Below are 27,591 nucleotides of genomic sequence, written 5' to 3' on the forward strand. Positions count from 1 at the left end.
GGCGCAGAGCTGCAGAGGCACCGGACGAGAGAGGGCTCCGCGGGCCCAGCTGGCAGCCAGGCCGGAGACAAGTTGCAGTCCCGGGCTCTGGTGACGCCGTGGCCGCAGGTCAGATTTGGGAGGGCTTTTCCCGGCCCGCGGGCCTGGGCGCTCCGGGGGAGGGAGCTCCAAGGGCAGGGTGGCGGGGGAGCCGCAGCTCCTCCACGTTATGGAAGAAAGGGGAATGCTAGCCCCCTGCGCCTCCGATCTTATCCTAAGGCTAAAACCGGTCCTGTTAGGGCCTGTCCTCTGCCCAATCAAGGTTTTGAGAGACTGGGTTCTTTGGGACCTGGGAATGTTGGGTGGCCTAGTTTGCCTGGGCCTGCGGGTTCTTCTCCTGGCACCAGCACAACATACCAGGGAGGGAGCTTTGGGCTTTAGGATCCAAGCTTTCCCCCTCAGCCCTCCCTTAGGACCAAGATGGCCTTGACCCATCTTCCTCCCACCTCAGGGCCACCAGGGTCACCACTCTAGGGCTTCAGGCTGGAAAAGCAGCCATGTGGGGCAAGAACAGGCAGGCCTGTGTTCTCTCTCTGGTTCTGCCGCTGGCTCTGCCTGGGGCTTCACTGCCCTGTCCTGGGCAACCTTCCTGTCAAGGTTGTTGAGAAGTTACTGCCCCATCGTTGTGTAAATCATTAAGGGCAACCCACCCACAAGGAGTGGTTATTAAGCATGTCCACCTTCCTCTTCAGGTCATCCCCACACAGCCTGGTCTGAAAGCCCATTTCATGCCCTTAGGGGCTGAGTGGTACATTAGCGTTGAGGCCCAGGATCCTGAAGACATGGTGGTGGCGGGGGAGGGGAATGACATCTTGGGATCAGGGAAGGACCGCTGTGGCTACTTCCGTATATCCAGCTTTACAGCTTCAACCATCCAGAGCCCAGCTCTTCATGCACTATTAAAGGCCAGCACCTGGACAGACTCTGTGAAATGCAGCAGGTGATACTGAGCTTTCCAGTTATGGCAGGGCCTAGGTTTTTTCATTTAATAGGAGATGGAGTAGGGATGAGGTCACTCCCTGGGTTCTCTCCTCTAGACAACCCATCCAGGAACCCTGATGTTTGGCTGGGGATGAGGCTTTCCCTGAGCTCCTTTCTTCCTCTATCCTAACCCCAATCTCCAGGTTGCCTTCAGGAGGTCTTCGCCGGCTTTAGGTACTCCTTACTCGCACTCAGGAGTCCCAGCCTGAGTCCTCTGCTGCCTCTGTTTCCCTGTTGACTCTGGGTGGAGAGAGAGAGAGCAGGAAGCTTGCACTAAATACATGAGCACCTGGTAGTGCATCCCTTCTGGATCCAACCAGAGGAGACAAGCTCCCGCCTACCCTCTCTATATCACATTTGCCCAACACCTGTCACTTGCTTTGAATTAAACCTCCTTCTCACATTTGATTCTGGCAACCATGCTTAGAAGTAAACAGTTCAGGCATATTTGCTCCCATAGCTGGAAGAGGAAAACAAGGATCAGATTGGAGAAGTGATTTATCTAAGATCCCACAGTGGACTGGGAGCAGCACTGAGACCTCAGCCTAGTCTCCTGATCCCCAAGCAGGGCCCTGCCTAAGGAACACACTCTGCAGAGTGCTGGGCCAAAGCAGGGTTTTCCAACTAATCTTAGAAGGTAAAGTCCATGAAGGTATGTACCAGGGATTTCTGTTTGTTTTGTTCGTCACTTAATCTCCAGTGTCTATGTCAGTGGCTGGTATGTAGTGGTGCTCATGAAGTATTTGCCGAATCAATTAAAGAATTTTCGGAAAGAGTGAGTCTCTTGAACTTTGCTACCTACTGTGACCTTGGCCCAGCCCCAGGCCTTGATTCACAGAGGCCTGCAGAGTCTTTCACCTGATTCTTCTGAGTAGCTGGGGCTCATTCTTTGCCTGTCTTTTTCTAGGGTCTCCATTTTGGGACATTCTAATCCCTGAGCCCCTATTATTTTCATCATGGGCTTCTGCCTGGCTCTAGCATGGACACTTCTGGTTGGGGCATGGACCCCTCTGGGTGAGTACAGATTGGAGGAGAAGCATGGTTAGGAGCAGAGGAACCCAGCATCCTCTGGGCTCCCCCAAGGACAGGATCCATTTGATATTCATCTGTATCTTTAGTCTCTAGCTGACACAGTGCCCTGCACATGAGAGTTGCTCATTTCTAGCTGTTGAAGAAATAGATGGATAATGGAATGAAAATTATCCCCAAATACACAGAATTAGGGAGCCTTCAGCTGCTGTCAGCACTTTCTCTTTTATTCTTACAGTTTGGGGGCCCTTTCTCTCTCCTCTCTCTTCTCTTGTTTTCCATAAAGTGAGGGCCTCTGACTCAAAATAGGAAAAGATTGATTAGACACATAAGACAATAAAGGATCTTGGGGTCAGATTGGACCCAAAGCTGAAGGGGAGTCATCAATATGTTTAAACATTATGATGAAAAACAAAAGCAATATCTTCCATAAGAGTTTCATGTTGCTGCCTTCAGTAGACAGTTTCTTGCTGGAATCTGAGGCTGCTCTCTGCAGTCCGGATCTCTGTGGAGGGAAGTGGGCCTACAGTGCCACAGTTAAAGTTAAAAGATCAAGTCCCTGATCACTGGGGATGGGAGATGCAAAAGCAGAAAGCAGAGAAAACCTGTAGAAGGATCTGTCCTGGCTGGAGGTGACAGGATGGTGACACCTTCCCTACAACTTCTCCCTTGCCAGAGCTACTCACATCCACGTTCCTTCCAGCCCTCTTCTTTCCCTAGCTTTGGATTTCCCTTTTTTCCCTCAGCTCTCACCTCTTATCCCCAAGAGGCGCTTTCCCTGTACTGTCCTGCAAAGGCTCTCTCCTTTATGTGCCACAGGTTCATTTTATTTTAGAGATCACATGTGTGGCCCTGCCCAAAGTCTTGAACCTTAGCTGGGTTCTTTGCTCAAACATCAGGCCCTGAGTCATTTTCCCCCCTGACTCTCTGCTGAGTGAGTGTGAATGTGTGCGTCTGTTCTCTGAAGTGAGCAGAGAAGAAGCCCCAGGCCTATAGACTCCTAGTTTGGGGGAAAGAATCAGGCCAGCTATCTGCTCTACTGATCAGAAAGATCCCTGCTCCATCCCTGATTCCATTATCCATTCTGGATCTTCCCTCTGTCCCTCATTCCTCAGTTCTTTCCCCAGCAGCTGAGTGCTCCCTCCTGGACCCTCATTTTGGAGAATACAACAGGATCAAGAGGAGGAATTGTATGGGGGACAAGATGCCCCAGAAAAAGGGCAAAGTCATCCACATCACCAGTCCAGTCCCTGGTCCTACCCAAGAAACTGGGGAAAAAAGCAGTAGCAACACCACACCCTTGCCCTGGGCTCTGCTCAGCCAGAGATGACTAGTCCCCTCACCACACCGACCCTGCCCAGGGATGGGTCACAGAATGACATGTCCTTCTCCGGTATGGAGTGTGGCTGGCTCTTGCTCTGTGTGGTGTCTTAGGGCTGGGGATGGATTCTGTCCTGTTGTGTCCCCTCAGGGAGCTGAAGTTTAAGGGGAGTAAAGTCCCCTGCATCCTATTCCCCATCACCACTGCTCTCCTCCAGCCCCCTCTCCCTCTCTGAGGCCGTCTGTCAGCACACTCTGCTCCCTGCTCCACTGCTTTTTGGCTCCCTGCCATGTCTCCCCCACTGAGCAGCTTAAAGATCTGGCTTGAGTTTGGACACTACTTTGCCCTGGTTTTTCCCTCTGCACCCTACCTCTCACATCCACTTCAGGTATCCACTTTCTGCTGCTCCAAGTGCCAGGCTCACAGCACCCATATCCGGCAGGCCTGCCTGTCCTCTCACGCACTGACTTGCCCAGCTGCCCCTTCCCTCCATTCTCACACAGGAGCTCAGAACCCCATTTCGTGGGAGGTGCAGCGATTTGATGGGTGGTACAACAACCTCATGGAGCACAGATGGGGCAGCAAAGGTAAGTGAGAGCCAAGTGGGGATAGAACCCCAGGGCCAGGGGGGTACTGAGTGCTGCGGGGCAAGAGCTGGCAAGTACCAGCAAAGGCCATCCATTTCCAAGGTTTTAGGATCCATGACATGGAGGAAAGCCTGGGAGAGAGGGGGTCAAGAATGCCCCCTGAAGATTCATCCTTATCCTTACCCCTCCTACCCCAGGCTCCCGGCTGCAGCGCCTGGTCCCAGCCAGCTATGCAGATGGCGTGTACCAGCCCTTGGGAGAACCCCACCTGCCCAACCCCCGAGACCTTAGCAACACCATCTCAAGGGGCCCTGCAGGGCTGGCCTCCCTGAGAAACCGCACAGTGTTGGGGGTCTTCTTTGGTGAGAACTTCAACCTCTGGGGAAGGAAGCCGGTGGGGTCGGCTGGACACCTCTGCATGTGAAGAGGGGTCAGAGGATGAGAGAGAAGTGATGGAAGGCCTAAGGGATGAGGGTGAGAGGTGGAGGAGGCAGTGGGGTATGGTAGGGGTAGAAGCAGGTGGAGAGAGGATCCATGCTGAAGTGAACTCTGGTTGGGGAGGCAGAAATCTGCCCCACACAGAAAGATGAGGGGTGGGGTTAGGGAAAAGGGGCATCCCTCCTCGTTGGGTTGTTGGTGGGGGTAAGGGGCTGGTAGAGGCAGAAACATGAAAATAATCTGGGAGGGCCTCTCCGTGGGACCCTGTTCTTAGGCATTGCCCCATGGCTTCTAGGACAGGCTCAGGGCAGGGTTCTGATTCTGGCAGAGTGGACTGAGGGGAAGTCAAAGTGGGGGTGCTAGGATGGCTTGACCCCAGTGACAGGATTGGTGGCTGGTCCATCAGGAATGCCTGGCTCCTGCTGCGTTTTGGAGCTGGTGCTGCCGGCCCGTTTGCCTAGGCACACTCACAGGGCACCTCCCAGTTACCAAGGAGAAAGCCAAACTGTCAACGACAACAGCTTGGATCAGGTGTAGGCACAGAGGGACAGAAGAGACAAACAACTGGGAGGGAGTGCCTAAGGTCAGGGCTTGGACTTGCCCATAATGGCTGCTGAGTCTTTTGAAGCTTCAGGGGAGGGAAGGAAACTGGATACCTAGGGTAAGAAGGAAAGTGGCCCTCTGCTTGCCCTAGCACCCCCTCCTGCACTGCCCGCAGGCTATCACGTGCTTTCAGACCTGGTGAGCGTGGAAACTCCCGGCTGCCCCGCCGAGTTCCTCAACATTCGCATCCCGCCCGGAGACCCCATGTTCGACCCCGACCAGCGCGGGGACGTGGTGCTGCCCTTCCAGAGAAGCCGCTGGGACCCCGAGACCGGACGGAGTCCCAGCAATCCCCGGGACCCGGTGAGGCGGGGAAGGCGGCGGGAAGGGACCGCACCCCAGCCAGGTGGGACCTGGGCTTCGGGCCTGGCAGGGCCTGGAGGGGAGAGGCGCCCACTCCCCAGCCGCGGACACCCGCCGGGCCCCGGCCTTCCCTAGCTCGCCGCCGCCCATCGACCCGGGCTCACCCGCCGCGTGCCCCGCAGGCCAACCAGGTGACGGGCTGGCTGGACGGCAGCGCCATCTATGGTTCCTCGCATTCCTGGAGCGACGCGCTGCGGAGCTTCTCCAGGGGACAGCTGGCGTCGGGGCCCGACCCCGCTTTTCCCCGAGACTCGCAGAACCCCCTGCTCATGTGGGCGGCGCCCGACCCCGCCACCGGGCAGAACGGGCCCCGGGGGCTGTACGGTGAGGCCACAGGGGCGGGACGGGGCCGGCTGGGGGTCTGCGAGTGTGGGCTCCCCCGATCACGCTACCGCTCGTCTCCTCCCCTGCGCCCCCACGTCGGATGCAGCCTTCGGGGCAGAGAGAGGGAACCGGGAACCCTTCCTGCAGGCGCTGGGCCTGCTCTGGTTCCGCTACCACAACCTGTGGGCGCAGAGGCTGGCCCGCCAGCACCCAGACTGGGAGGACGAGGAGCTGTTCCAGCACGCACGCAAGAGGGTCATCGCCACCTACCAGGTCAGCCGTCCGCGCCCCGCGACGTCCTCCCTTCCGCGTGCAAGCCCACGGGAGACTCCGCTGCCCCATGGAGCTCCCCATCTGTGGACAACCGCCACCCAGAAACCCCTCCCCAGACAGCCGAGGTCCAGGGAAGCCCCTGTAAATGATAGGGAGGCACGCGCTGTTTATAGGAGAAATCTGGCTGGTGATGATTATTTATCACCTCCCCACCCCCCACTCCCTCAAATCCCCTGGTTCCTTGTGGGGACAGGCCTCACACTGCTCCTGTTTGAGTTGCTTCTCCCATGACTGACCCTGGCTGGTCCTCATCTCCACACGGAAGCCGTCCTTGGGCTCAGACCCTTCCAGGTCCCTCCCCATCCAACTCGTGCCTCCCCTCGCCCCTCTCTGCCCCTCAGAACATCGCTGTGTATGAGTGGCTGCCCAGCTTCCTGCAGAAAACACTCCCGGAGTATACAGGTGAGGGAGCGGGGAAGGAGGATGGGAGGGCTTGCGTGTGTCTTGCGGGGTGGGGTGGGGACTACGTTGGGGATTTTAGGGCTAAATTCTTCTGTCCTCTCTTCTCCTATTTCCCCAGGATACCGGCCATTTCTGGACCCCAGCATCTCCTCAGAGTTCGTGGCGGCCTCTGAGCAGTTCCTGTCCACCATGGTGCCCCCTGGCGTCTACATGAGGTGAGGGAGGGGCTCAAAGGTGTGTGTGCTGGGAGGGATGGGGCTGTCAACTGAGGAAAATCTGCCCTCAGGAGCCCTCTGTACAGGATTATCAGTCTGAAGTGTCCCCAAGGGAAAGACCGATAGAGAGGGGAAGAAAACAATTGTTTTAAAAGATACATCACTGTGGTTTTTAAGTATTTTTACTTCCATTCTCCTGCTGCTGGTGTAGATATTACCCTCCCCCCCACCATTAAATATAGAGTAATAAAGGTTCAGAGGGTGTCACAAAGTCCACTGGTCTAAACCTCATGTCTTGACACTACACTGGGGACATTTTTAGCTATAATCACAGAGCCCAGGGCCTGCAACCTTTTGGGGGCAGAGGGTTCTAAAATGTGTGCAATCTGAAGGAAAATATTGGCTTCAAAATAATGAAAAGGGAACTTTAAAAAGACATAGGCCGGGAGCAGTGGCTCACGCCTGTAACCCCAGCACTTTGGGAGGCAGAGGTGGGTGGTTCACCTGAGGTCGGGAGTTAGAGACCAGCCTGACCAACATGCAGAAACCTCGTCTCTACTAAAAAAAAAAAAAAAAAAAAAAAAATTAGCCAGGCATGGTGGTGCATGCCTGTAATCCCAGCTACTCGGGAGGCTGAGGCAGAAGAATCGCTTGAACCCAGAAGGCGGAGGTTGCGGTGAGCCAAGATCGTGTCATTGCACTCCGGCCTGGACAACAAGAGTGAAACTCCATCTCAAAAAAAAAAAAAAAAAAAAAAAAGACACATATTTAAATAATGTATATGTATGTATATGTATATGAAACAAAGCATGTCCATTTATATTTTTACAATTGCTTTATAATTTAAAACAATTCATAGATTAGATTTACTCTGGAATAATCTCTGGGGTATGCCTGATGATGTCTGAGAAATAGACAATTGAGTTATTCATAGACAAGTAGTTTCAGAAGAACAATTTTTGAATCCTTTAAATAGGTATATATGTACACATATATTGTACATATAACTGTGTATATATATATTTTATATGTGTGTGTATATACATATATTGAGAGAGAGTCAGAGAGAGAGTGTGTGTGTTAATGAGCTATGAGTACATTTTAGATATTTGGTCTGATGTTGTAGATGGGACCTTCCAAAAGTCAGACCCTCCAGGATGTGCTAAGGTCCGAACCACACACCACCTCGGAAAGACGATGGCCTGGGGTCCCTGGATACCGCCTCAGAGACCAGAACTGATGCCTGACATTATAACCCCATTATCTCAATCACCATCTCCCTGCTCCTTGCATTTCAGAAATGCCAGCTGCCACTTCCAGGGGGTCATCAATCGGAACTCAAGTGTCTCCAGAGCTCTCCGGGTCTGCAACAGCTACTGGAGCCGTGAGGTCCGAGCTGGGGGCCACATATGTGGTGGATGTGTGTGTGTGCATGCTTATGTGTGTGTGTGTATGTGTGTGTGTGTGTGTGTGTGTGTGTGAGTGCATGGTGAAAGTGGTCAGTAAGGCTGACGCAGGTAGCTGGGATAGGCTGGGGTGAAGGAGGCAGCCTGGAGGACCTCAGGCATCTCCCCTACAAAGTCTGAGGTGACCAGGTAGCTGAACATGGCCAAAAGCCAACCCACCACCCCAACCTCAGGGCTGTGGGAAAGCCAGTGGGACCTGTGCAGGTATGGTTCCGCCTTCGTTGCTCCCTCTCACGTTTTCCCTCTCCTTCGACAGCTTTGGGCGTCCTGTAGGCCTTGGAGTACCCCAACTAGTCTCACTTGCCCCAAGGAAACATCCCATTAGACACACATCCCGGGCAGTGTGTGAATGCGTATGTGTGAGGGGGGTGGGGAGGAAGCAGGGGTTCCTAGAGATTATTGGGGATTGTCCATCCATCCAAATCAGGCCAGCATGGGTGAAGAACATTGATTGTGAATTTAAAGCAAAATGAGATACTTTGTGTAAAGTGTTTACTAAGGGGAAGGGAGTGGGGAGGAAGAAAAAAGAAGCCATAGAATCAGAGCCCTGGAGCTGAGTTGAAAGAGGACTCAGTGTCCCCCTCATCAGAGTCCCTTTTTATTAAGGGAAGGAAACTGAGTTCAGAGAGGGCCTGTGACTTGCCCAAGGTCATACAGCTGGTTAGTAACAGAGGACTAAGACCTAGATCTTCTGGTTACTTTGCCAACCACACTGTCAAGTATCCCAAGGTCAAAGTAAAATTTTAAGATCCCTTGTGCTTGTATAGACCTCTGTCAGGCAGCACTGACAGAGGGGACACCCCTCACCCTGAGTGGGGAATCAACCTGCAGAAGAGGAATGTCCCACCGGTTTGGGAGCAAACAGCAGGACTGGGTGGGCTCAGGGATAAGGATGATGGTGTGGAGGGAGCCGGCTGTCTAACCTCTGACCCCATTAACCACACCCCTTTCCTCCCCACCCCCAACCTATAAAGCACCCAAGCCTACAAAGTGCTGAAGATGTGGATGCACTGCTGCTGGGCATGGCCTCCCAGATCGCAGAGCGAGAGGACCATGTGTTGGTTGAAGATGTGCGGGGTGAGTCTGAGGCTGTCCCTGCAGGTTGTGAACTCCTGGCCTCTGGGAAGAGGCTCAGCTGGACTTCCAGAACCAGGTATGAGGGGGTGCCTGGGGCTGGGAGCCTGCACTGCACTCACTGATGAAAGAGCTTCTGACATGCTGACCATGGCTCCTTCTGGCTCAAGTCTCCTGGGGCTGGTTGGAGCTTGGGGCCTGGACTGGACACTGCTGTGGTGGCCCTGAGCTCCCTCAGACTGTCTGGTATCTTGTCTCCAGATTTCTGGCCTGGGCCACTGAAGTTTTCCCGCACAGACCACCTGGCCAGCTGCCTGCAGCGGGGCCGGGATCTGGGCCTGCCCTCTTACACCAAGGCCAGGGCAGCACTGGGCTTGTCTCCCATTACCCGCTGGCAGGACATCAACCCTGCACTCTCCCGGAGCAATGACACTGTGAGGAGGGGTCAGGACCCAGAGGGTAGGGCGGGAGGGACAAGGCACGTGGGCCTGAGACATGGAAGATAGGCAGTGAAACTTGAGCACAAGAGACAAGCACCTAATGGGAGGGGCAGGGCTTACCCAGATCACTTTTCCCAATATTACATATCAGGATGAAGATTACCAGACCAGCAAGATTTGGCTTTGCACTCGGATTGTTCAGATCCAGCAAGCGTGTATTAAGCATCTATTGTTTGCTAGGCACTTAATAGTCACTATCTTATTTACTGTTCTCTCCACCCTCCTGAGTGGGTATAGAAGGTCCTTGACTTAGGAACAATCTGTGCTTTCTTGCACCGATGTTTAAGCCACCTTTCAGGAGTCAGCTGTTACACCCTGAGCTACCACCTGGACTGGTGGCCCAGGCCAAGGTAGAGCCTGAGGCGGAGGCCCAGCATGCCTTACCCATTCCTGGTGTTCTCAAACCAGTAGCGGTCACCATCCCACAGCCGCACAAATTGGTCAAGGATGATGGTGCTGAACAGGGGTCCTGTTCAGCTGCTAGCCAAGAGACCAGATTGGGATACCTTACCATCTTGACACAGCAGTGTTTCTACAGTTGTGTGCCTATTCTATTGCATTTTGCCCTTACTATTTTATAAAATTATTGGAAAGTGGGGATTTGAAAGGCCAATAAAGAAGTGATATGAGCATGGGGGCTCGTAAACTTTATAAAATCAATATATAGATAGGAACCACCAGGCACACCAAAAGTAGCAAATCTTTAGCTTCAAATGGGCCTCAGTGGGATTAAGCTGGTCAAGTGCTATTTACACTGTGGAGAAAAGAAAACTAAAATAAAGGTCAGGTAGAAAATGCTGGTGATATGTTTTTGAAAACTGTCTCCAAAAGGCAATATATAATCAGGCATTTGATTAAAAAAAATTTTAGTTCTAAAGAATAGAAACCTTTTATAACACATCATTCTGCCATTCAACTTTTGCACATTCTGATTTTGTCCCTTCAACTTTCATACCTTTTCAAGAACAAGTTATGAATGCGGATTGGCTGGCTGTTTTATTACTTTATAAAATAGGCAGCTGAATGTGTGAGAGGGTTCCCATAAATGGAGTTCACTTATGTAAAACACTCAGAGAAGTGCCTGGGGCATAATAAGCACTGTATAGGAGTGAGTTACTGTTACTGTCATTTATTATTATCATCCCTGGGGCTAATCCCTGGGAGCCACCTCTTTGCCTTAGGGTGGGTGCCGTGTCCTTTCTCTTACTTCTGCCCCTTCTTGGTTCCAGGTACTGGAGGCCACAGCTGCCCTGTACAACCAGGACTTATCCTGGCTAGAGCTGCTCCCTGGGGGACTCCTGGAGAGCCACCGGGACCCTGGACCTCTGTTCAGCACCATCGTCCTTGAACAATTTGTGCGGCTACGGGATGGTGACCGCTACTGGTTTGAGAACACCAGGAATGGGTAAGGCGTGCTGGGCCTCCGCCTCAGGCTCTACCTCGGCCTGGGCCCCAGACCCTCTTTCTGGCCTTAGACAGCCCCCATGAGCCCTTGATTCCAAGCCAGCCCACCACCCACTTCCCAACACCTCTGGGTCTCTTTTCTCACCTGGGTCCTTGGGCCTGGGGTTGCTGGAGGCCTGCATCCCCTTCCCATCCCAGTGACTTCTACTTACTCCAACTTAGGCTGTTCTCCAAGAAGGAGATTGAAGAAATCCGAAATACCACCCTGCAGGACGTGCTGGTCGCTGTTATCAACATTGACCCCAGTGCTCTGCAGCCCAATGTCTTTGTCTGGCATAAAGGTGAGTGGCCAAGGGGTGGCTGGAGGAGTGGTGGGTCTGGAGCCTCGTCCCTCTTCAGCTCTGGGCTTGGCTCAATGTGGCTGAACGTCAATCTCTGTGCTCCAAGAGGGGAGTGAGCTGTGGTTCTGCCCTTGGGAACTCCAGGTGCCAGGGCCACCACTTGCAGCTGTGTAGGGTCCCCTCTGCAGAACTCCAGGAAGTGCTGAGTGAGGGCAGAACTGAGACTCAGAGAGAGCTGGTGAGGAGGTTCACATTCGGCTGAGATGGAGCTCGGGCTAGGTATAATATTAGGAGGGCTCAGTGCAGTGAGGATATCCCAACCCTACAGCAGTGAGGGAAGCGTGTGTGTGTGTGTGTGTGTGTGTGTGTGTGTACACTTCTGTGTGTGAGGGAGAGATGGAGGTTGGGATTCATTTTTTACCCCACTTGTTACCCAAGGCAGCCCCTTCCCCTCAGCTACCCAGAGTGCCCCCACCCCCTTTCTGCCACCCTAACCTCCTCCGTGATCCTGTGCCAGCACCTGTGGCCCAGCACCCAGGACGCTGGCTTCCTCTGCCTTCCCAGGAGACCCCTGTCCGCAGCCGAGACAGCTCAGCACTGAAGGCCTGCCAGCGTGTGCTCCCTCTGTTGTTCGTGACTATTTTGAGGGCAGTGGATTTGGCTTCGGGGTCACCATCGGGACCCTCTGTTGCTTCCCTTTGGGTAAAATCATGGACAGAGTGGGGTGGGGTGAGAGATGCAAGCTAGGGGATGCAGTTTGGGTGGTTCCACTAATGACAACAAACCACGCAAACCACACAGAGCATGGTCCCTTTGGGTAGGAGAATGAAACATTAGAGGAGGAAGGGACAAGAGAAGTGTTTGACCTGCAGAGAAGTCAGCTCCAGGGAGAATTGCCTCCCTGTTTTCCTGGGACTGCCCCCAGGGCCCAGCATTGGTCAGGAGCCAGGGGGAATCTATAATCCACAGCTTTTTGCAGGCCTGAGCCTAGAGGACTGTCAGAGGCAAATCCCTGTTTAAGAACAAGGGCTAAGACGGGGCGCGGTGGCTCATGCCTGTAATCCCAGCACTTTGAGAGGCCGAGGCAGGCGGATCACCTGAGGTCAGGAGTTTGAGACCAGCCTGATCAACATGGAGAAACCATGTCTCTCCTAAAAATACAAAATTAGCCGGGCATGGTGGCGCATGCCTGTAATCCCAGCTACTCGGGAGGCTGAGGCAGGAGAATCAATTGAATCTGGGAGGCAGAGGTTGCAGTGAGCTTAGATCGCGCCATTGCACTCCAGCCTGGGCAACAAGAGCGAAACTCTGTCAAAAAAAGAAAGAAAGAGAGAGAGAGAGAATGGAAGGAAGGAAAGAAGGAAGGAAGGAAGGAAGGGAGGGAGGAAGGGAGGGAGGAAGAGCAGGCTGGGGCAGACATAGTCGCTGGAGTGAGGGCTTGGGGCTTAGTCTTTGGCAAGGCTGTGTGTGGGTCAGCTAGCAGCCTGGTGGGGTGAGTCTAGTCTCTGACACAAGGACTCTGGACTTAGTCTCTGGCCAGGAAGGGACGTGAGTGGTGGAATCTGAGGAGGAAGGGTGGGTATCTTAGATGCTACCCAAAGCTCCCCATGGGATGCAGAGCAGCTTCCCCCAGGGACCTTCCCAATCTGAAACAATTGAGCAAGCTGACCTAGGAGGTGGGGACAATAGGTGGTATTGCCAGGTAAGGAGCTGAGAAAGGAGCTGCTTCCATCCCCTAGACCCCCACGTCTCCCTGAACCTCTGCCTCTGCCCTCCCAGTGAGCCTGCTCAGTGCCTGGATTGTTGCCCGGCTCCGGATGAGAAATTTCAAGAGGCTCCAGGGCCAGGACCGCCAGAGCATCGTGTCTGAGAAGCTCGTGGGAGGCATGGAAGGTAGGTCTAGGGCTGGCCAGGGTGGTGGTAGGGAGGACATGGCTCAGCGCTACAGCTACCCACCTCCACCCCAGCAGCCTAAGGAAAAGGCCTCCCTTTTCTAGGACTGTAGGCAAGGCCACAGTGGCATTAAGCAGAAGTTGGACATGGAGTCCTGCAGCCTCCAGAGTTTCTCATGTGCAGCAGTCATTGGACCTTGCCTTACAGGGAGTAAGTGTAAGACCCTGTAGTGATCTTACAGGGTCACTATGACTTACGAATCCCTGGGAACTGCTGATTTGTAGCATCTCACGCTGGAACTCCAGGCAACAGAGAAGTGGTTAATGAAGGTCCAGAGTCAGACTGGGATTGGAATCTTGGTTCCACCACCACTATGGGCTATTGGGCCTTAGGCAGATTTTTGAATCTCTCTAAACCATTTTTTTCTTATCCATAAAATAGGAATAATAATAGCACCTACCTCACAGGTTTATAATTAAATGAAATAATTCATGCAAAGCACTTGGTATAGTATTGAGCACATAGAAAACATTCAGGAAATGATAGTTACTATTCTTTTCATGGGGCTAGAGGCACAGCCAGGCTTTCAGGGAGGGAATGACTCTCAGTACCCCAGAAGGGGACAATGAACTGTGGAGGCCTTGATCTAATTTCAGCCCTGAGCTGGCCCTCTTCCTCCCAATGTACCTCTGATGGGTCCCAGCTGACGAAGCCCTGTCTCTCTCCCCCTAGCTTTGGAATGGCAAGGCCACAAGGAGCCCTGCCGGCCCGTGCTTGTGTACCTGCAGCCCGGGCAGATCCGTGTGGTAGATGGCAGGCTCACCGTGCTCCGCACCATCCAGCTGCAGCCTCCACAGAAGGTCAACTTCGTCCTGTCCAGCAACCGTGGACGCCGCACTCTGCTGCTCAAGATCCCCAAGGAGTATGACCTGGTATGGCTCAGCTGGCATCTGGCTCCTTGTCCACAGCCAAGGCCAGGGAGGCAGCCAGGTGGAGGGGAAGAAGCATGGGGTCAGGAGGCAGGAAATGATAGTTACTGTGCAGGAGTCTGGCTTCTTGTTCCCAGGTGGAGTACCTGATAGAGAGATAAACTTGGACACGTTTATCCTGCTCCGGGTCTGCTGGATGACATAATCTCCATGGTTTCCTCCTAACTCTTGCAACCACAGTCTGCCTCCTCCTTTTCTAAGGACAACCTGTCAGGTCCCAGCTGGGTGTCCTTGGAAGAAGCAAAGCCCTCTTCCCTGTCCTCTTATCTCAGGATGTAGTGAATTTTTAGAGATTTTGGAGGAGAGCTAAATCAGAGGCCTGGCCCATGATCCCCTCCATCCTCTGGCCTTCCTGCCCTCCTCTGCCTTCTCCAGTATGGAATAGAGGGAAGAATGTCTTTGTACATGTGCCTTTAAATCCAAACTCTGCACCTATGAGCAAGTCACTTAACCCTACTGAGCCCCTTTCCTCTTCTGTAAAAGGAGAAATAATATCCCTTTTTCAAGGCCACCCCAGTGGCCCCTCTGACATAATCCACATAAACTGCCTAACCTCAAGAGGCCTTGGCAAATGGTTGCTTTTGCTCGGGCTGCCCCCTTAGGTGCTGCTGTTTAACTTGGAGGAAGAGCGGCAGGCGCTGGTGGAAAATCTCCGGGGAGCTCTGAAGGAGAGCGGGTTGAGCATCCAGGAGTGGGAGCTGCGGGAGCAGGAGCTGATGAGAGCAGCTGTGACACGGGAGCAGCGGAGGCACCTCCTGGAGACCTTTTTCAGGCACCTTTTCTCCCAGGTGTGTACATGGGACCAGATCAATCCTTATGCTGTGGTGGTGTCCTTACCTGCATGAGGCCATGGGGTGACTCGAGGGGAAGTCAAAGCCCAGAGTTCTCAGCTAATAATCAAGTCTATTGCAATTTTGGATGAATCACCAGACTTTATCATAAGGAGTTGCCCCTGCCCCCATCTGAACCCCACCTCCAACTACGAGGCTCCAGTGGGGGGATGCCCAGGAATGGGCTTCTCTGCATGTGTTGCTTATCGCTCTCCTCAGGGCTGCCCAGACTTTCCATCCTCACTCATCTCAGCCTGCCTCAAAGGCTGCAGAGACCCAGAGCAGCGTGGGCACCATAAGGGATATTGTTCACCCCTTCTTGGGGGAGTGCAGCTGCCAGAGCCCTCCATGGGGCATTGATGTCCACCTTGCAGACTTCTGAGAGAGACTGGGAGGATATAGGGAAACAAGACAAAAATGCAGAGACTTGAGTCCACAGCTGGCACAAAAATAGAGGCAGCCTGGGAGCAGGGTAGTGGAGTGGAGAAACATGGTAGATAAAGATAAATATGGTCAGGTGCGGTGGCTCACACCTGTAATCCTAGCACTTTGGGAGGCGGGGCAGGTGGATCACTTGAGGTCAGGGGTTTGAGACCAGCCTGGCCAACATGGTGAAACCCCGTCTCTACTAAAAATACAAAAATTAGCCGGGTGTGGTGGCGGGTGCCTGTAATCCCAGCTACTTGGGAGGCTGAGGCAGGAGAATCACTTGAACCTGGGAGGCAGAGGTTGCAGTGAGCCGAGATTGCACCACTGCACTCCAGCCTGGGCAACAGAGTAAGACTCCATCTCAGTTAAAAAAAAAAAAAGATAAATACAGCATGGTTCTCCCACTGAAGAAGCTTATCCTTCCACTGGGGAGATGGAACATGCACAGAAAGGAAGATAACTGGCAAAGAATGAAGGCTACAAAAGTGATTCAGGAAATCAGCAATCCGGGAGCTCAGAGAAGACAGTGAGTCTTCAGCCTGCTGTGAGATCATGATGGAGGTGATATTTGGCAAGGACTTAAAGTTGGACAAGTTTTGGCTCAGAGGAAAGGAACAGGAGGGACTAAAAAGAGGGCTCCATGGAAGAGCAAAGAAATTAATGTTTGAGGAGAAAAAGCAGGATCATGTGGTTGGGGAGAGGATTCATGAGAGAAGCATCCATTGAACAGACATTTACTCTGTGCCAGGAACATGATTTAAAGTCATTTGAGGACAAACAAGTTGAACTTGAATATGTACAAGAACAGAGGGACCCTCAGCTGGGTGACTCCTTCCCAGAGCCCAGGCAGGACTGGGCATCTCCACTCATTCAGGATCCTTCGGGGCTATGGGAACTCCCTGTGCTGAGACACGAAGGGTGCTGATATATCCTGGGGGTGGCTGTCAGTGTCTCATATGATTTCAGCTTTCAGAACATTTTCAACACAACCACTTTTGTTGATCTCGCAATAAACCTGTGAGATAAGTAGGGCAGATGAGGAAATGAATTCCAGGCAACCGAAGAGACTTGCATGAGGTCATTCAGCAAGCAGGTGACAGAGTTGGGACATGAACCCAGGTCTCTTGCCTCCAGCCCTAGGCTCTTCCCACTACAGCACCTTGTTTGAAGCTGTAAGGTTTACCCCATGAAACCATCACCAGACTTGGAGTAGGCACCTCACTTGACAGGCAGGAAAGACAGGTACTGTGGCCTGTGGCCTGCCTGCTTCCTCACTGTCTGTTCTCTCATACTGGGGAAGCCTCTGGGTGGGCTGGGGATGGCCACAATGAGAATTCCCCTTTCTCAAGCCCAGCTTTTCCTCAATCCAGCTGAAGCCTTGTCTTAGTTAAAACTTTTTTTACACATAAATAAGAGAAACCCCAATAAGCTAGCATTGACAAAGGGTCACTTGACTCTGAGAATACAGAGATGTCTCAGGAATTCCAAAGGGAGGACATCAACCTGGCCTGAAAGGACCTAGAAAAGGAAAGCTGTCAGCCAATGAGGCCACTCCTCCCCTAGGCTGCCTTTGCCTTACTTGATCTCTAAGTGGCTGAGCACTTGGAGGAAGAGAGTGGTCCACACTTTCTGAGCTTTCTTGTGCTCAAGTCAAGACAGACCTCACACTTCTTAATTCCAAGTGAGTTCCCTGTCCAGTCAGCTAAGGCAGAGGGTCAGGGTTCTGTAGAACAAACATGGCCTCAGGCACCACCATAAGGCCTCCTAGCAGAGGGGGTCCTGGGCAGACACCTCAAAAGGTGGCTCCTACAGGGCTCAGCTGAACTTCAAGTCAAGGAAGCCTTGTCTCCTCTCCCTCCCTCTGCTTCTGCCCAAGTGCAGGTGCTGGACATCAACCAGGCCGACGCAGGGACCCTGCCCCTGGACTCCTCCCAGAAGGTGCGGGAGGCCCTGACCTGTGAGCTGAGCAGGGCCGAGTTTGCCGAGTCCCTGGGCCTCAAGCCCCAGGACATGTTTGTGGAGTCCATGTTCTCTCTGGCTGACAAGGATGGCAATGGCTACCTGTCCTTCCGAGAGTTCCTGGACATCCTGGTGGTCTTCATGAAAGGTGAGGGAGGAGGGAATGATAGGAGAGGCTGGACAGGGGCTGATCTGTTGGAGATGGGGAAGCCCTGGGACCAGGTCTCCAGCCATGGCAGATGCCCAGAAGTGCCCAGGCCGAGGTCAGGAAGCAGAGCGACCCTTGCTGTGTCCAGAAGTGGGTCATCACACTGGTGTGAGGCCCCTTTTGGCCAGCCTGGGGGTTCAGGCAGGCAGGCGGGGGCTCTCCTTATGGAGTCCTCCCTCTCCCAGGCTCTCCTGAGGAAAAGTCTCGCCTTATGTTCCGCATGTACGACTTTGATGGGAATGGCCTCATTTCCAAGGATGAGTTCATCAGGATGCTGAGGTTTGTTCTCTGGGACAGCCAGGAGAATGGGCCAGGGCAGGGATGCCAGGGCAAATAGATGGGACCTGAAGGAGAGAGCAGAAGGGCCAAGGAAGGAAGCCTCCTCCTTACCCATGTAACCAGAGGCTGTTCAAACTAGCAGGGGGCTTGGGATGTGGCCAGTCGGGGCCCCTCCACATGGGCACAGAGAACTTGGTGCGATGGAGTCAGTGTGTCCTGTGTCTGGGTCGCAGGCCCCAGTCAGGGCCGGATGGTTCCTCTCCCCCAACCCCAGATCCTTCATCGAGATCTCCAACAACTGCCTGTCCAAGGCCCAGCTGGCTGAGGTGGTGGAGTCCATGTTCCGGGAGTCGGGATTCCAGGACAAGGAGGAACTGACATGGGAAGATTTTCACTTCATGCTGCGGGACCACAATAGCGAGCTCCGCTTCACGCAGCTCTGTGTCAAAGGTGGGGCAGCCTGGTAGGCAGCACTGACTCATTGGTTAGGCATAGTAGGCACAATGCCCACATACTTTTAGGAGTCCACAGAAATGTTTTAATTTCCATTAAAATCAGAAGAAAAAAATGAATGTAGTAATATGTAATAATGTATCCAATCTGGATTGTAGTTTTCTTTATATCAACATAATTATACAATATAATTTTAAAATATTATTTTTTATTTTTATGGAGGAAAGGACCCAAAAAGGTGAAAGTGCCTAGGGCCCAGGAAAGTCATAATGCAGCTCTGCTGGTGGGGTGGGTAGGGTCAGGATAGGGTAGGAAATGGTGATTGGAACTCTGCTTCCCCTGGCTCCCTGCCAAAGCCCCCTGTGCGTGGTGCCCAGGGCAGGGGGAGACTGTCTCCCTGTTACAGCCCTACCCAGGCCATACTTCCTTCAGCTGGGATGTCTGGTTGTGGGGGTGGGGTGGTATCTCTTGGGGTTTTTTTTTGCCACTATATCTCCTGGCTGAGTGCTCAGTAAATGTTTGCTGAATACATGAAGACCCAGTTCTGTTGTCCTTCCCCCTACTTCCTGCCCCACCAGTGTCTGATTCAAGTGGGTGGGGGCTAGAGTTAGAGTGAGGAATGGGCAAGCAGCAGGCAGGAGGGTCTGTCTGTGGCCTGCTCTGAGCTGTTATGGTATCTTTGCATCTTAGGACTCTCACTGGGGCATGTTGAGACCAAACCCAGCCCCTCCCAGAATTATGAGAAGGGGTAGGCTGAGCAGCCTCCACAGGGAAGAGGGGCAAGTTAGATAAGACACAGATGAGCCTCTGGTCAGGGCTTCCCCCTGGGGGTAAGGAGAGCTGGAAGAGAAGGAACCCAGCACTCCTGATTCTGCAGCTTTTTACCTTTCCCAGGCAGCCAGGGCAGCAGGCACCTGAGCCTAAGGGCAGGGGCAACGAAGGTGCATGGAAGGGAGCCCACACCACAGAGTCCCAGGGACATCCAACACCTGGGGTGGAGGGTAAAACCAGGCTTGGGGATTGAGGAAGATTAGCACTGAGTATTGTTTTCTTTTAATTGTTATTGACTCCAGATTTTTTTTATAAAGATTTTAAAACTAAAGAAAAGGAACAAAAGGCCAGGTGCAATAGCTCATGCCTGTAATCCCAGCACTTTGGGAGGCCAAAGTGGGAGGATCACTTGAGGTCAGGAGTTTGAGACCAGCCTGGCCAACATAGAGAAACCCCATCTCTATTTAAAAAAGTACAAAAATTACCCAGGTGTGGTGGCACATGCCTGTAGTCCCAAGTACTCCAGAGGCTGAGGCACAAGAATCGCTTGAACCAGGAGGCGGAGGCTGTAGTGAGCCAAGATTGTGCCACTGCACTCCAACCTGGGCGACAGAGACTCTGTCTCAAAAAAAGAGATGTTCCTTCACTTTTCACCTAGATATGCTATTTGTTACCATTTTACCACATTTGCTGTTTGTGGAACATTTGAGAGTACAGGCATTAATACTTTGTTTTAAACATTCTGATTTAATTTTAATATAGTTCAGCTTATCTTCTTTTGACCTCAACTATAGACCAGGGTCATCTTCAGGCTTGGTTCAGCACTTGGAAGAAACCCAGAGATTCCCAGGACTCCTGTAAGAATTTGGCTTTGCAGCTTAGTCCTGCCCTGCCTTCAGTGCTCAGCCTAGACAGGAACAATGGGGTGGCTCCTGGGAGAGCTTTTCTCCTGCATATTTTATTATGAACATTTTCAAACACAGAAAAGTAAAAAGAACTGTAGCGTGATCTCCCATATACCTACCACCTAGATTCTACATTTAGCTCTTGGAGGTTTTAAGCTAGAGGATCTTAAGCCAAATTTTTATGGCAGAGCAGGCTCAGAAGGCAGGTTATATACAGTTCCCGAAATCTACCCCATAGTCCCAGAAGTGGGACTGATGATGGACACACTTTAGGGAAGCCTGCCTGGCCAACTTTCTTTCAGGCCTTTTCCCTGCCCACCTATGGCTGGGTCCAGCTCCCATTGGGGACAAGGGCTGAGGTTGGAGCACCCGAAAGCAGGGCCTCCATTGGTCTGGGACTGTCTACTGTGCCTGAGCATGGGATGGTAGGAGTGCTGTGCGTTTGAGCCAGGTCTTCCTGGGCTCTGGACCCTGAGCTGCTCCCTAGCCTGGCTCTGCTTTGCAGGGGTGGAGGTGCCTGAAGTCATCAAGGACCTCTGCCGGCGAGCCTCCTACATCAGCCAGGATATGATCTGGTGAGCACCCATCTGGGAATGTCGGGGGGAGGAGTTGGGGAGTTGCCATTTCTCTCCCCTGAATGGCTGGGATCAGGGCCACCGCTAGCCCATGCAGCACCTTCAAACAAATTAGAAAAGGACACCCCTTTCTCTAGGCAGACACAGCCCTGTGCCAGGGCAAGCAGAAAGCCTGCTGGATTTCCGCTCTCACTTACGGCCTGGCCCAGATGCCCTTGTGAAGGGTAAAGGCATATGCAGCAGCCTTAGCGAGGACCCCCAAGATCAGACTCTGTCTATAGGTGACTGTGGGAATCCTGCTGTCCCCTTGCTGACAGCTCTGATCCTTCCTCAGCAGAATGGGTTTGGAGGCAGACCAGGATAGCAGAGGAACGAGTGGTTGAGATGGCCAGCATCCTATCTCTTACCATTCTTGTCTTAGTCCCTCTCCCAGAGTGAGTGCCCGCTGTTCCCGCAGCGACATTGAGACTGAGTTGACACCTCAGAGACTGCAGTGCCCCATGGACACAGACCCTCCCCAGGAGATTCGGCGGAGGTTTGGCAAGAAGTATGTCTGCTCTTCCCCTTAAGCCCAGGCAGTTCATCCATTCCTTCAGCTTATAAACATCTTTTCCTTGGTGCCAGGCACTGTGCTAAACATTGTGGGTACAGGCAGGGTGAATAGTCCTTGCCCAAGAACATCACAATCTAAGAAGAGAATCTGGTACACTGATAATTTCAATGTCCCACTGATGACTGTTCTAATAGTGGTAAGAGCGAAGGGCTTTGGAACTCAAGGAAGCACTCACCTCTGCCAGGGAGGTCAGAGATGCCTTCATGGAAGAGGTGTCCTTTGAGTCTCTAGTAAAGGCTGAATATGGGCGCCGGGTGGGAGTTGGGAGCTACAGACTGGAAGGAGAGGGACTGAGTGTGAATGAACACAGGTAGATGGAGTACATCCCCTGGGAAGAAATGACCACTCCAAGCCATCCCTCCACTGCCAGCTTGCTTATGCAGTGCAATATAGCCTGATGCGGTGAGGTCTGAACCCTTCTTCCACAAGGGTAACTAGGTTTCTTTCTCGGAAGCAGTGGGCTTCCCTCACTTCTGGGCGGCTCACCTCCGTGAAGTGGGGCCCCACTAGCGTTGGGTCCCATGGTGGGTGCCAAAGGCTAAGGCTTCCTGTCTCCCAGGGTAACGTCATTCCAGCCCTTGCTGTTCACTGAGGCGCACCGAGAGAAGTTCCAACGCAGCTGTCTCCACCAGACGGTGCAACAGTTCAAGCGCTTCATTGAGAACTACCGGCGCCACATCGGCTGCGTGGCCGTGTTCTACGCCATCGCTGGGGGGCTTTTCCTGGAGAGGGCCTACTGTGAGTGACTTTACTTACCACGAGCCCTGTCCCTAGGCTTGCAATGAGTGATCGCCCTGGGGGTGGGGCCTGCGATAAGTGCCAGCCCTGGGTAGGGTAAGTGGAGCCTGTCTGAGTGAAGACTGTGCGGGGGAGGCCTGTTGTGAGTGGCAGCCGGCCAGGGCCTACCGCCCCTAACCAGCTCTCTGTCCTCTGCACTGACCCTCGCTTGCCTGCCTGGGCCCCCTCCACAGACTACGCCTTTGCCGCACATCACACGGGCATCACAGACACCACCCGCGTGGGAATCATCCTGTCGCGGGGCACAGCAGCCAGCATCTCTTTCATGTTCTCCTACATCTTGCTCACCATGTGCCGCAACCTCATCACCTTCCTGCGAGAAACCTTCCTCAACCGCTACGTGCCCTTCGACGCCGCCGTGGACTTCCATCGCCTCATTGCCTCCACCGCCATCGTCCTCACAGGCAGGGCCTGGGTGTCCCTGGGAGGCTCTCCAGGGCCTCCCGCCCCCGCTGACTTCCCCTCGTATGAGAGCCCCCCTCTCTGCTGGCACTTACCTTTAATGTCCTTCTCCATCAGGATGGAGTTGGCCTGGGCCAGGGTGTGAAGTAAGCCCGGGAGCCTGTCGCTGGTCACTTCCAAGTGCCTCTTCCCGCACTTTCCAGGGCGCCTCACCAGCCTCAGCTGACAAGTTACTAACACCCCAGAATGAGTGTGCATAATGTGTCAATTCTCCCAATTTTTATGTTTTAAAGCATGACTCTGAGAGAAAGCAAAGGAGTGAACTTCTAATGCTGTAATTTCAGACTCACATGGTTGCGCACATGGATGGTGTGTCTGTGGGGTGTTGGGTAGGGCCAGGTGATTGTTTAGAGGTCAGAAGTCCAGGCCGGCGCGGCGGCTTATGCCCCTAATCCCAGCACTTTGGGAAGCTGAGGCGGGCGGATCACTTGAGGTCAGGAGTTCGAGACCAGCCTGGCCAACATGGTGAAACCCCGTCTCTACTAAAAATACAAAAATCAGCTGGGTGTGGTGGCACATGCCGGTAATCCCAGCTACTCAGGAGGCTGAGGCAGGAGAATTGCTTGAACCTGGGAGGCAGAGGTTGCAGTGAGCCGAGATCGCACCACTGCCCTCCAGCCTGGGTGACAGAGTGAGACTCCATCTAAAAAAAAAAAAAAAAAAAAAAAAAAGAGGTCAGAAGTCGAGACTCCTAAGGTACTTCTCTGGGACCCCCACTCTGGCCAGGGTCCTCGATCTTGGGCTGAATGAGTGAGCACCCACCCTGGGCTGCCCCAAGCTCACCACTTGGTCTGCTCTTCCTTAGTCTTACACAGTGTGGGCCATGTGGTGAATGTGTACCTGTTCTCCATCAGCCCCCTCAGCGTCCTCTCTTGCCTCTTTCCTGGCCTCTTCCATGATGATGGGTGAGTAAGTGCGAATGTGTGTGTGTGTGTGTGTGTGTGTGTGTGTGTGTGTGTGTGTGTGTGTGTGTATAATGGGGAGGATTCCTTTTGGGTGGAAAGAAATTATCTGGCTCCAGAGGAGACTGTCACCTTCTAGGTTACAGGACAGACAGTGACCAGCCTGAGCCCCTAATGCCAAGTCAGCAGGAGAGACTGGTGTCTGAGTTGGGGTGCCTCCCCTGAAGGGTCCCATCTGGAATTCCCAAAGATCTCCTCTCATTAGCTGGGCATGGTGGTGCGTGCCTGTAATCCCAGCTACTGGGGAGGCTGAGGCAGGAGAATGGCTTGAAACCAGGAGGTGGAGGTTGCAGTGAGCCAAGATCATGCCACTGCACTCCAGCCTGGGTGACAGAGCAAGACTCTGCCTCAAAAAAAAAAAAAAGAGAGAGAGATCTCCTCTCAAGGTGTCTCTTTGCTGTCCCTTCCACACAGGTCTGAGCTCCCCCAGAAGTATTACTGGTGGTTCTTCCAGACCGTACCAGGTGAGAACCCTCCTTGATCCATGAATTTCTGGACCTGACTGTGAGTTCAAGGCTCTGGGTTCTCTGCACCCCAGAGCAACCCACGTTCACTCACTCAGCTCTTCCGGTGACCCAGGCTCTGTCCTCTGGCCTGAGGACACTACTGGGTGGGCAGGAGACTTAGACTACTCTGCATTCCAGCCCTCCTCGCAGGAGCTCAACTGGGTTCCTGCCCCTACTTTGGGCTAGTTCCTTCTCTAGTAGGGTTAGGAGGAGAAATATCTCCTACTATGGACTAGTTCCAGTGGAATAGGAGTGGCTGGCTACCTCTTCCCCCAATACACACACATACCCTAACAGTAGCTTTGAGGAGTGCTGTGCCCCAGCTGCATGGGGGAAGGAGCAGGCTCTTTGTCAAGCCAGACAGAGGCGCCTACCCAGTATGCCTTGAAAGGAGCGTTTGGGGGATATTCCTAACTCCCTATAATCACCCATCTTAGAGCTATTAGCTGTGAATCTATTCAAATTCTCTTGAACCTATTTATATTTTCAGTCTGTTCCTTCCTTGGAGTAACATAATTTCTATACTGGCTCCTCTCTGTGAAACACAGCATGGTTTTTTTTTTTTTTTTAATCCTAAAATGATCTGCTTTGAACTTCAGAGGGTGCTTGCTAATTCCTGCACACTGAGATTTAGTGGATAAGGCTGTGTTTATGCTCTCCTCTCCTTTTAGGACTTTACAGGCTTTGGTTAGATCCCTTCTTAACCTTTACTTTTTTATACTTCAGGGCTCTAATCTTCTTAACTTCTGCCTCTCTTCCTTGATCACTTGAGGGAGCATTCTCTGTCCTCTCTGCCCTGCCCTGGCTCCAGTATTATCCCCCTGTATACCCATGGCCTGGATCCCCTGTGAGAGGAGGGGCCTCCCACCAACTCTGGGTTGTACTTGGGGACCCTAGTGATGAGCAGGGACAGTGTGGTCCTGGCCAGTCACTAACAGTGCCAGTGCTCATGCTGTGTGCTGTGGCAGCCAACAAAGAGTGGTGCAGGGACAAGGACCAAACCTTGACTCGATGAGAGTACAGCCTGTCATTTCCATTGTTTGGCCCAGAGGGCCCAGAGTGGACACCCTCTGCATCCATTCATTCAGCACACATTTATATAGGGCCCACGGTGTGCCAGGCCCTTGCACTAGGCACTAGGATTCAGTGGCAAACTAGCTTAGCCTGTTCCTCATTCTTGAGAACCCGAGAGTCAGGAAAGTGACAGACAAAAACCAAATAATGACATTGGTGAAAAATTGGCTGGGTGTGGTGGCTCATGCCTGTATTCCCAGCACTTTGGGAGGCCAAGGTGGGCGGATCACCTGAGGCCAGGAGTTCAAGACCAGCCTGGCCAACATGGCAGAACCCTGTCTCTACTAAAAATAAAAAAAATTAGCTGGGCATGATGGTGCATGCCTTTAGTTCCAGCTACTCAGGAGGCCGAGGCAGAAGAATCATTTGAACCTGGGAGGCAGAGGTTGCAGTGAGCCGAGATTGCACCAATGCACTCCAGGGAGCCTGGGTAACAGAGCAAGACTCCATCTCAAAAAAAAAAAAAAAAAAAATCATGGTGACAAGGGCTATGAAAAGTGAACAATGTCTGCTGAAATGAAAGGTACCTGTGATCAGTGGTGTTGGGGGAGAGGACCAGAGGAGAATGCTGGGACATTCTTACTCCAACTTGGGCAGTGGAGTGGAGAGGGGACCTTGGAAGCTCCAGAACAGTTCCCTTTCAAGGCACTGATCTTCTGCCTTCCACCCTATATTCATTTTGCAGGCCTCACGGGGGTTGTGCTGCTCCTGATCCTGGCCATCATGTATGTCTTTGCCTCCCACCACTTCCGCCGCCGCAGTTTCCGGGGCTTCTGGCTGACCCACCACCTCTACATCCTGCTCTATGTCCTGGTGAGGGCTTTTGGCTGTGAGCCAGGCCAGGAGGGTATGGGCAGGACATTTCCAGGGAGGCAAGGAGAGCTGGGACATTCATTCAATTTCTAGCTATTTGAAGCATCCTCTTCACTTCTCGACGTCCCTCTTTGAAGGTGGAGATGATAGTACAGGGCTCTCCATTAGGATGACCCCAATATGCAGCACTTGGAAGCTCGGCTCCCTGGCATGGGTTTTGCAGTAGCAGCCCTGCCAGACTGATCTCCATTCCTCGCAGACACCTCCACCCCACTTCTGCCCAGCTAGTCTTTCCCCACTTTGGGTGGCTGGTTTTGGCTCCTGGGTGGACTACCTGCACCCAAGAGAGCATCACCCTTTTTGAAGAAACTTATCTTAAATGGGTTCTGCCACTTTTGTTCTGATCCTATTTTTGGGGGCATTAGTCACACCTGCTAAGTGCCACCTGTACAGTATATAAGCTTGTTCAAAATGACTTCAGTTGGATTGTTGATCTAATGAATTTTTATTTTTTATTTTTTGAGACAGAGTCTCGCCCTGTCGCCCAGGCTGGAGTGCAATGGCATGATCTCAACTCACAGCAACCACCGCCTTCCGGGTTCAAGCAATTCTCCTGTCTCAGCCTCCTGAGTAGCTGGGACTACAGGCACGCACCACCATGCCTGGCTAATTTTTGTATCTTTAGTAGAGACAGGGTTTCACCATGTTGGCCAGGCTGGTCTCGAATTCCTGACCTCGTGATCCACCCACCTCGGCCTCCCAAAGTGCTGGGATTACAGGCGTGAGCCACCGCGCCAGGCCAATCAAATAGATTTTTAAGACTCTACCTATCCCCTTTCCTTCTCCTTAACCTTGGCTCCTGCCTCCCTCTCTCCATGTTGCCTCCCTTCTCATGTTCCCTTCACCCTCCCCTGGGTTTCTCATCGGCTGCCTAGCTGGTTAGTTCCCGAGCTGATTCTGTGTCCCTGTGTTGTGGCTCTGCTTGTCTGCCTTCCTCATGAGCAGAGGCAATTCCCTAAAGGGTACTCTGAGGGCCTCACTTAGAAGCTAAACCAAATCCCAAGGCTCCAGCTGTTCCCTGCAGCAGAACTGCATACAGGGCTCTCCTTTGTGCCGAGACAAAGAGAAACTGCACCATGGCCTCGGTCAGGTTGGCTCCTGCCATCTGACCTGCCTTCTCTCAGGTGCAGTTCTGTCCTCACTGACAGATAGGAGGGTCTGTTTCATCTTGCCTGTTGCTCAGCATTTCACAGTTCTGAAGATGACTACTTAGCCTTGGCTTAGGATGTTTCCTAGAACTGATGATATGCGTTTCCTAAGAAACATCTCTTTCTTTGGAAGCTATGACTAATTTACCCTCTCTCCTCCTCTTCCCAATAATGAGTGGAGCCCTAGCATTCTCGGCTACTGCTTCTGTTGGGGGTGGAAATGACGTTCTTGTTCCTGGTGATAAAGCAGCTACTTTGAACTAGATGAGAGATCCAGAAGAGTGGCCAGGCAGGCTCCCTAAGACCCAGAGCCCTTTCTGATTTGTCCTGGGGTGTAGGCATCACTAGGATTCCAAGCCACCCTTCCTGCCAGCAGGAAAGTCAGGGGTTCGAAAGGTGTGGCCGGGCACAGTGGCTCACATCTGTAATCCAGCACTTTGAGAT

General features: G+C 52.7%; 1 protein-coding gene and 1 long non-coding RNA gene across 10 annotated transcripts in view; one reads left to right on the forward strand and one right to left on the reverse strand.

Moving 5' to 3' along the window:
- The window catches only part of DUOX1 (dual oxidase 1), a 35,581-nt gene continuing 7,993 nt past the window's right edge, over positions 4-27,591 (forward strand). The window contains exons 1-29 of one of the 8 annotated variants that reach the window (NM_017434.5): positions 4-108; positions 1,481-1,672; positions 1,928-2,034; positions 3,874-3,957; positions 4,155-4,319; positions 5,114-5,301; positions 5,484-5,685; positions 5,792-5,958; positions 6,360-6,420; positions 6,539-6,635; positions 7,934-8,024; positions 9,076-9,178; positions 9,437-9,609; positions 10,905-11,080; positions 11,302-11,420; positions 11,985-12,122; positions 13,200-13,313; positions 14,046-14,245; positions 14,905-15,090; positions 17,443-17,668; positions 17,914-18,007; positions 18,282-18,457; positions 20,642-20,711; positions 21,133-21,258; positions 21,884-22,062; positions 22,296-22,526; positions 23,390-23,489; positions 23,961-24,010; positions 25,812-25,939. In NM_017434.5, coding sequence (NP_059130.2) covers positions 1,977-2,034; positions 3,874-3,957; positions 4,155-4,319; positions 5,114-5,301; positions 5,484-5,685; positions 5,792-5,958; positions 6,360-6,420; positions 6,539-6,635; positions 7,934-8,024; positions 9,076-9,178; positions 9,437-9,609; positions 10,905-11,080; positions 11,302-11,420; positions 11,985-12,122; positions 13,200-13,313; positions 14,046-14,245; positions 14,905-15,090; positions 17,443-17,668; positions 17,914-18,007; positions 18,282-18,457; positions 20,642-20,711; positions 21,133-21,258; positions 21,884-22,062; positions 22,296-22,526; positions 23,390-23,489; positions 23,961-24,010; positions 25,812-25,939 — 3,702 coding nt within the window. In that variant the 5' untranslated portion in view covers positions 4-108; positions 1,481-1,672; positions 1,928-1,976. Of the gene's footprint in view, positions 2,035-3,873; positions 3,958-4,154; positions 4,320-5,113; positions 5,302-5,483; positions 5,686-5,791; positions 5,959-6,359; positions 6,421-6,538; positions 6,636-7,933; positions 8,025-9,075; positions 9,255-9,436; positions 9,610-10,904; positions 11,081-11,301; positions 11,421-11,984; positions 12,123-13,199; positions 13,314-14,045; positions 14,246-14,904; positions 15,091-17,442; positions 17,669-17,913; positions 18,008-18,281; positions 18,458-20,641; positions 20,712-21,132; positions 21,259-21,883; positions 22,063-22,295; positions 22,527-23,389; positions 23,490-23,960; positions 24,011-25,811; positions 25,940-27,591 lie in introns of those variants that run through there. The other 7 variants (XM_047432691.1, NM_175940.3, XM_047432693.1 and 4 more) reach the window with 7 other exon arrangements.
- Positions 16,280-21,890, reverse strand: LOC124903480 (uncharacterized). 2 transcript variants are annotated; one of them, XR_007064607.1, is made up of 2 exons: positions 21,500-21,890; positions 16,280-16,576 (listed from the first exon to the last, which is right to left on the reverse strand). It is a non-coding gene; the product is annotated as an uncharacterized LOC124903480 (long non-coding RNA). The 2 variants fall into 2 exon arrangements; XR_007064606.1 differs by having other exon boundaries at positions 16,280-18,072.

This window comes from Homo sapiens, chromosome 15 (genome assembly GCF_000001405.40).
Source record: "Homo sapiens chromosome 15, GRCh38.p14 Primary Assembly".
Lineage (NCBI taxonomy): Eukaryota > Metazoa > Chordata > Mammalia > Primates > Hominidae > Homo > Homo sapiens.